The sequence below is a fragment of the Homo sapiens genome, chromosome 13 (assembly GCF_000001405.40).
Source record: "Homo sapiens chromosome 13, GRCh38.p14 Primary Assembly".
Taxonomy (NCBI): domain Eukaryota; kingdom Metazoa; phylum Chordata; class Mammalia; order Primates; family Hominidae; genus Homo; species Homo sapiens.
This window is the reverse complement of record NC_000013.11, coordinates 39,991,008-40,000,134: the sequence shown is the minus strand read 5'-3', so window position 1 is coordinate 40,000,134 and position 9,127 is coordinate 39,991,008. Positions and strand designations below refer to the sequence as shown.

General features: G+C 43.1%; 1 annotated feature.

The window, feature by feature from the left end:
• Positions 754–1,953: an enhancer, noted in NCBI's record as "CDK7 strongly-dependent group 2 enhancer chr13:40572319-40573518 (GRCh37/hg19 assembly coordinates)". NCBI's record gives its function as "activates an origin of replication core promoter dependent on BRD2, BRD4, P300/CBP, MED14 and CDK7 cofactors, with strong dependence on CDK7, by STARR-seq in HCT116 cells {active_cell/tissue: HCT116}" and the evidence as "EXISTENCE:reporter gene assay evidence [ECO:0000049][PMID:35650434]".

Genomic DNA, 9,127 nt, shown 5'->3' with positions numbered 1-9,127 from the left:
CATAGCTATAGCTAGAGATGCAGGTATAGATCAGACAAAATATTGGGGTCTGCTGGATGGAACCAGGAAGAACAAGAGATGGTCAATTCATAGCCTCCTTAACATTCTCAAAATGTGTTTCATGACAATGGCAAAATACCTGCCATGATGGTTCATTTTATGCATCAACTTAATGGAATTAAAGAATACCCAGATAGCTGGTAAAACATTATTTCTGGGTGTTTCTTTGAGGGTATTTCCAGAAGAGATTAGCATTTGAATCCATAGACTGAGTAAAGAAGATCTGCCTTCACTGACGGACATGAGCAGGCCTTATTGCTCTCCCTTCTTCAGTTGAGATGTCCATCTTCTCCTGCCCTCAGACATCACAGCTCCTGTTCTCCAGTCTTCACACTCCAGGACTTAACACCAGCACCTCCCAAACCCCACCCCTCCAGCAAGACTCCCCTGGTTTTCAGGCCTTCCAACTCAGACTGGATTATACCACCTCCAGCTTCCCTGATTCTTCAGTTTACAGATGGCACGTTGTGGGACTTTCCGGCTTCTATTATCATGTGAGTCAATTTTCATAGTATATCGTCTCTAACACGTCTAATCTCTCTCTCTCTCTCTCTCTCTCTCTCTCTCTCTCTCTCTCTCTCTCATTGGTTCTGTTTCTCTGGAGAATCCTGACTAATATACCTGCCTTTCAATGGCTTGATTGTTTTGTAGGTCAGAAATATGTGAGCAGGAGAGGGCTTGTTAGGTTTGGAACTTGGAAATGTAGCTTCCAGAGGACCAGATTACCAACTGCCAGAAAACGGAAAATAGATAAGTGCTCATGTTTTAAAAAGTCACTTCATATGATATTTTTCTTACATTGGAACATTGGCATATCAATAACCTATATTACTTCAAAATGCCTCACCCTGTTCTATCACCTTAAAAGTTGGCAGTTAGTGTTTCATTTTGATCAATAAGCATTATCTTTAGAAGGTAAATTAGTTAAATCTTAAAGTAGATAAACTTAAAAGGTATACTCATCTTATTGAATTTTAATTGTTTTACAACCCAGCAGTGATTTGGCCTTAGGGAGGGTTCCTCTGAGGTAGACCTTGGTTCCTCTGAGGTAGACATTTGAAAACACCTCTAGAAGATTCTGTAGGTTTTCAGGCACATTTAACTCAGTCTTATTTTGATAATTAATTCACTTACAGACATTAACAAGTTCGGTGGCATCTAAATCAAAACACCACTCTCACGTGAGTAAACGGGCAAGAGGGGTGAGGGGATTGGATAGTCATCTGAAGGCAGGAGAGGATCCTAGAGATCTGGGGGAACAGGCAGAACAACTGGGAGAGGGGTACAGAAAGGAGAAAGGGAAAGACCCTAAGGTGAACCTTCCTTTTCTGGATGCTTATGATTTCAGCCAGGTGCGGTGGTGCACACCTGCAATCCCAGCAACATGGGAGGCTAAGGTGAGAGGATCACGAGTTTGAGTTCCGTCTGGGCAAAACAGAGTGAGACCTCATCTCAGAAAGAAAAAAAAAAAAAACTAGCTTACAATTTTGTTGTCGTTGTTGCTTATAAAATAACAACTAAAATCAAGTAAGCATACTTACCTAAAATACCAAGGCCCACCGCGAACTGACCCCATTTGACCAGATTATAAGCTCTGTTCCCTGGCTCATGGTGTCCACATTCTTCTTTCTTTCTTCACGCACCCCAAGCCTAGATCAACCGAAAGCCTTTGTTCTTTCTATAGTCTTTGCTTGTAAGTCTCTGCAAGACTCTGGTTTTTCCTTCCTGTGGTTAAAATGTCAGTGCAAGTGTCTCATCCTCAAAGAGGCCCTCCCAGGCCACTCAATCTAGCTCCTTTCAATTAAAGGAGGCTTATTTTTATCCAGATCGCTCTTACTCTCTTGATTTTATTTTCTTCATGGCACTTAGGGCTTTCTGACGTGATCTTTTTTTCTTTTGTCTGTCTCCCCCAACTAGAGAGCATCGTTTTTGTCCATCTCATTCACCACTCGTTCTCCAGCACCAAGGGCATCTTCACTGAATGAGGGAATTCATGAATGAATATTTGGATAGTGCTTTATATTTTGCGAAGTGATTGACAGAATACTACTTACATTCATGTTACTATTTAATCCTGCAACAAAGCTGTGAGGTAACATTGCTGTTTTCTTCATTTATACAGGAGAAAGCTGAGGTTCACAAAAGTAGATTTCTTCTCCGACATCCTGAATAATAAACAGAAAATTAGGACTTGGACTCAGATTTTTTGTGTCTGATGTAGATGTGCTCAATTGTTTTTTTTTCTTAAAAATAGCATTTATTATGTGTATTATATGCCAAGAATTATGTCTGGAAGCCACTGAGAAGATTTCAAGCGGAAGAGTGACATGATAATTTTGACTTTGGAGTATGAGGTGTGAGTTTGTTTTTATCCCAACACTGCTTTTAAATGTGTCATACCAGGTCTTTCTTCCTCAACATTTGAAAACATCTGTAGAAGATTCTGTAGGTTTCCAGGCACATTTGACTCTAAGACCAGTCTTATTTTGACAATTGACTCATTTACAGATATTAACAAATCAAGTAGTATCTAAATCACAACACCACTCACATTTAACCGGCACCTTCTGCCCCTCATCTCCATCCTGACCTGGGGGCTGGAGCCTGCAGTTTGAATCTACTCTATCATCTCTGTTTCTTGCTGTAAGATTTGAAAGAGGTAAAAGCTGAAGGAAAAGGCGGAAATATTCTTGTGTGTGTTTATTTTCAGATATTTTTTGGAAGGTTCTGCAAGACCTTGATACTGTGCACTTCTTTGACATAGGTGATGTATTCTAGAGATTGTTTCTTGTGACAGCTTCCTAGCTCTTGCCTCCGAAAATAGACCCCTGAGTCCCTTGGATGGCAGGAGTCCCACTTCCTTCTGTGGCATGTATTTTCCCATGGAAATGTGTGTATCCTTGCTGGGAACTCAGGTGGGTCCACTGTTTCTTCTCTTCCCCTATCTGAGCAGTGTTCAGACTATGGCAGGTGAGAAGCAGTCTCCTATCTGCCTCTGTCTTCACATATGTTGACAAACTCCAGAAGATAGAAGTCAAATTCTCCCAGGGGCTGTCTGTCATGCTTTGTTTTGGGTGACTGGGATGGGCCTCCTAGTTACTGTCATTCAGTAAACATCAAGCTGGGAGTGAAGGCTCAGGGTCCTTCTGTGCTGGCAACTCCACTCTTCTGGAAGAATTCTCTTATATCGCACCTCCCTGGGGTACATGGAGGGGTAAAGCCACAGCACTCCTCCCCTCCACTGAAGGGCTCAATGCCTCCTCTTCCTTACTGCTCAGACCTAATGAGCTCCAGGCTTCTGTATGTACTTGCTGGATGCAGTGGTGGGAATGAGAGATGAAGCACCCATTCGGCCTCTTCTCAGCCAGCCCTGGAAGGAGGTGACTGGTAGCTCTCTCTATGGCTCTTCAGAGTGCCTTATGGTTCTCAGCAATGGGACTCTGGGCAAAGGTGTAAGACAAGTACAAACTTCCCATGACAGAGAATGTTCCATCTTGTGGAAACACTAACATGATAACACTGTGAGGAGCTGACTGGAAGATGAGACTGGAGAGAGGGATTCCAGATAGCAGCCAGGTGAGGAAGACAGGGCATCTGAGCTGAGGTCTTGGTGATGGGAATGGAGAGCAAGAGACAGATTTGGAAGATGTATTCAGGTTTCTGGCCTGGGTGAGTGATAGTGCTGTTCACAAAGACATGAATCAGAAACAGGGCAGGCTTTGAGGAACACGGGTGAGTTGTCCTGCCCCCATGGAGTCCGATGCTTCTGGAGGAAGAGGGAGTAGAAGCACAATAGTTAAAAGGGTAGGCTGAGGCTCAAGAGTGGGGCTGACTTGGAACTCTCGATGGGAGAGTCCTTGGAATTCGGGTAGCTACTGATGCCACAGGAGTATCTGGCGATTCCTGGGGACTGTGTATAACAGGAGAAGGCAAAGGGCTCCACTGGTGCCCCCTAGAAGCCCCAGCATTTAAAGTTGGGTTGGTTTGTATGGGAGACTGAGACAGGGCCAGGAAGGTGAGAAGGAAAATTCCCTGAAGGATACTGAAAAGAGAATTCCCCTCCCTGAGGCCTTTTACTATAGAGGTCACCAGTCGGCCTAAATTATGCCACTTCTATGTCTTTCCCTTGTCCTGCAGGTTCTTGTCTTCATCTTTCCTCTTCCTTGATGAGCTATTTCATAGGCCCTCAAAAGGAAGGGGTTAATCTGTTTGTTCTTGGGCTTCGACAGCTTCCCCAAGCCACAGGCTCCTTAACAAAGACTCCTGGGATGAAAGCTAACTAATTGGAGGAATGTTCTTTCCATTTCTCAGGTGTGCCGGCTTCCCCTGCAGATGGGCAGGGAGCCACGATCCTGCTATTGGCCTCTGCCCCTTCTGCACTCACAGTCTGCAGCTGTCACTTTATAGCGGGGGCTTCTGCATTCTCTTCCTCAGCATCCTCAACCCTCAGAGGTCCCAAAAGGCTATGCCTCTGGTACCCCTCACACTTGACAAGCAAGTGGAATTTGGTGGGCCTGGCCAATTCTTCCCATTGCTGGGAAACAGCTCTGTGTTCCTGGCATCAGAGGAAGACAGTCACCCAATGCCACAGGTGGTACTTTGTTGTGGGATTCCCAATTCTCCTCTTCAGAAGTGATTATTACAAGGGCCCTCGTAAATTCTCTAAGAGAAAGAGAATTTTATTCTCACCAATGGATTTTTATTTGGTGGGATGGAGAAATGGAGAGAAGAATCATAAGAATGGCAAAGAGAAAAACTTAAGTTTCTCAAGACAACCCCATATCAAATCAAACCATTTGAGGGGTATCAGATAGGTAAAATCTGGTTTGCTTACAAAGTCATTGGGGGAGTAAATGGCCATGTTCAGCAGTTGTATACTTTGCTTGCTTAAAACAATGCTCATTAGCATTCCCGCTTTTCCTGTGCGCTCACCATTCTCAGCTCCCAGAGTGTATGTCAAAACTCACGTCTGCTTTTGTTTCCCAGTTCTTTGAACTAGCACGCCAATTTGCAACTATTGCTTTCATGCCAAGATAACCATGCCATTGTGTGGGCCAGCTTTGGGTTCTATGCCCTGGAGAGCTTTGCCAAAGTCACGGAGGAAGCTGGTGGGGAAGCCCGGAGCAGAGCACACAGCTTCAGCCTCTCAGGCCCTCAGCAAGCTGCAGGCTTGGGACTCTCGTCTATCTCTGCAAGTGCTCCTGGCTCTGATGGAAAGTAATTTTCCCCATTCAAATGAGAGACATAGGTGGTCCCTTAAAAATCTCTTGCAAATATGAGTCTATGTCAGCATGTACATTGATGTAGGGGCATTGTGTGCAAATTCCTAGTAGCTTCCTTAAGACAGGAGTCTGTGCTACTATCAGAAATATCTGTATCATTTAGGTTTGGAAGAAAATAATAATTTATGATGATAAAGATGATTATCTCTGTGGACCGATTAGAATTTTTTAGGGCAGGAAAGTATTTTCCATATGTACATTGAGGGCACTGAAAATGTCAGTTTGCAGCACAGGCAATATGATCACAACCACAGAGTAGGTGAGAGGAGAAACATGTCAACGGTGGTATGGCGCTTGTGAACTTGCCTTAGACTGGACAGTCGTATTGGATCAATAGTAAATACTTACCGAGCACTTCTTTTGTGTTGCTCACTCTGATTCTCATTTAATTCTTTTTTTTTTTTTTTTTTTTTTTTTTTTTTTTGAGATGGAGTCTCACTCTGTCACCCAGGCTGGAGTGCAGTGGCGTGATCTCGGCTCACTGCAACCTCCACCTCCCTGGTTCAAGCGATTCTTCTGTCTCAGTCTCTCAAGTAGCTGGGACTACAGGCATGTGCCACTATGCTTGGCTAATTTTTGTATTTTTAGTAGAGACGGAGTTTCACTATATTGGCCAGCATGGTCTCGAACTCCTGACTTTGTGATCTGCCCACCTCAGCCTCCCAAAGTGCTGGGATTACAGGTGTGGGCCACCGCGCCCGGCTCTCATTTAATTCTTACAACAATTGTGAGGTAGAACTATTATTTACCACATTTTAAAGATGATGAAACTGAGGTGGAGGTAGGTTTAATAACTTGTAGGGAGTCACCCAACTCGTAAGAGAGTAGTGGGAATAGAAGAAGATGCTATTAACTAAACTGACTGTATTTGCTTTTTAGAGATTTTTTCCTCCTACTGGGAGTGATAGAGGAAGATGTGCAATACAAATTTTCTTACTTGACCTCTTTTACTTGGAAGCCTGCCAGAGATAAAACACAATTTGTAGTCATAGAAATGAGCTGCTGCTGCTTCTTTCTTTTTTTTCTTTCTTTTTTTCTTTTTTTTTTCTTTTTTTTTTTTTTCTGAGGCAGGGTCTCGCTTTGTTGCCCAGGCTGGAGTGCAGTGGCACGATCTTGGCTCACTGCAACCTCTGCCTCCCGGGTTCAAGCGATTCTCATGCCTCAGCCGCCTGAGTATCTGGGATTACAGTCACATGCCACCATGTTCAGCTAATTTTTTGTAAAGGCAAGGTTTTGCCATGTTGGTCAGGGTGGGTCTCAAACTCCTGGACTCAAGTGATCTGCCGGCCTTGGCCTCACAAAGTGCTGGAATTACAGGCATGAGCCACCATGCCTGGCCAAGAGCGTCTTCTTGAAGCTTGAAAGCACTTAGTCCTCAACCTAGAAAAGTTCTAATAATTATTGCATATTTTAGAACAAATATTACATATTTATGACATTACCACAACATTTCAGTATTTATCATGAAAAAATGTTTCTCTAATGTTTACTTTTTAATTTTAATAAGTATGATAGAATAAAAATATCTAAGATGATGTAAGATAGTCTAGTGTCTCAGGTAATTTTTCTGAACACAGAATTGCTAGGGCACACACTAGAAAATGTTAAGCTCTGATTGCTTTCTTGCAACTTACCTCCTTCTCCTCTAAGTGTAGCTAAAAGCAAAATAAAACAAAAGGAGTTTGTTATGATTTTACCAGCAGAACAATAACATCTATCAACCTCTGGGCTAATTTTCTTTTCTACACATTCTTCTTGACGGAACTTGTTTCTATCTGTCCCATCTGTAGGTATAGCCCAGTTGAGTGGTCTGAGGCCTTATCGCTGTATTGGCAGAACTTCATCTGTCCAAGGATTTTGGAAAGTCCTTGGGGTGCAGACTTCAGGACCTTGGTTTCTCCACCTTATTCCTGGGCTGCCAGGCTGCTGTCGCTGTGGTTGATAGTTGTCTTGAGGTCACAAATCCACTGGGCACAGTGGTCAGGAACGACACAGTCCCTATCCCTCCCCTCTTCCCTTTCGATGCTCAATGTCAAGCTGTGGACAGCCCATTTCTCGGAATTCCTTATTCACAAAGGAGGTTAGACTGTAACTGTTAACAAGATTAAACTTAAGATATAGCTATAATGGAAGTGTCATGTAAATAATATTTTCAATGTAAATAGCAATATGAAGACTACATATTTCCCGCATGAGAATCCATAGTTTCCTCTACAAGAAGTGTTATATACCAGAGTCATAGCTGAAATTAGCAGAGAGAGGAGAACGCCATGTTCCTTGGTACATTCTCTTTCTTTTGTTGTTTTTGTTGTTTTGAGATGGAGTTTCGCTCTTGTTGCCCAGGCTGGAGTGTAATGGCGTGATCTTGGCTCACTGCAACCTCTGCCTCCCTGGTTCAAGCAATTCTCCTGCCTCAGCCTCCCAAGTAGCTGAGATTACAGGCGCCTGCCACTATGTCCAGCTAATTTTTTGTATTTTTAGTAGACATTGGGTTTCACTATGTTGGCCAGGCTAGTCTCGAATTCCTGACCTAAGGCGATCACCCACCTCGGCCTCCCAAAGTGCTGGGATTACAGGCGTGAGCCACCGCTCCTGGCCCTCATTGATGCATTCTAAGGCCAACTTCCTCATTTGCCTAGGATATCTTCTCCAGGATGATTGACTCTGTAAATATTCATTCCTTCAGGAAACATCCCACCCTTTCCACAGGTGTGACCCAAATGTAAGTCTCCAAGGAAATTCCACAATAGCTCCATTTCATTAGATTTATCAAAGCCTAGATTCAATTTTAAGCAACACTCTATGTGAGAGAGCAACAATCCAATCCACGATGAACCACACAGAACTCTGACTGACTCCTCTCCAACCTCTCTGTTATCATGGCCTGAATGCTTGGCTCATGTCTTCATCATAGTTCTGCTTTTCCTGCAAACAAGTGCTCAAGAAAGAAGCCGCAAAACTAGGAACACCAGCAATAGAACAGTGCATGGTTACTACAATAAACTAATTAGTTTGTACAATTTAGTTCAAACTTCGAAAATTTCTGTTGTTGCAAGAGACATAAGATGCAACACACATCTGCTGACTTTTTTTTTTTTATACTTTAAGTTCTAGGGTACATGTGCGCAACATGCAGGTTTGTTACATATGTATACATGTGACATGTTGGTGCGCCGCACCTATTAACTCATCATTTAACATTAGATATATCTCCTAATGCTATCCCTCCCCCCTCCCCTCAACAGGCCCCGGTGTGTTATATTCCCCTTCCTGCATCCAAGTGTTCTCATTGTTCAATTCCCACCTATGAGTGAGAACATGTGGTGCTTGGTTTTTTGTCCCTGTGATAGTTTGCTGAGAATGATGGCTTCCAGCTTCATCCATGTCCCTACAAAGGAGATGAACTCATCCTTTTGTTATGGCTGCATAGTATTCCATGGTGTATATGTGCCACATTTTCTTAATCCAGTCTATCATTGATGGACATTTGGGTTGGTTCCAAGTCTTTGCTATTGTGAATAGTGCTGCAATAAACATATGTGTACATGTGTCTTTATAGCAGCATGATTTATAATCCTTTGGGTATATACCCAGTAATGGGATGGCTGGGTCAAATGGTATTTCTAGTTCTAGATCCTTGAGGAATCGCCACACTGTCTTCCACAATGGTTGAACCAGTTTAAAGTCCCACCAACAGTGTAAAAGTGTTCCTATTTCTCCACATCCTCTCCAGCACCTGTTGTTTCCTGACTTTTTAATGATTGCCATTCTAACTGGTGTGAGAT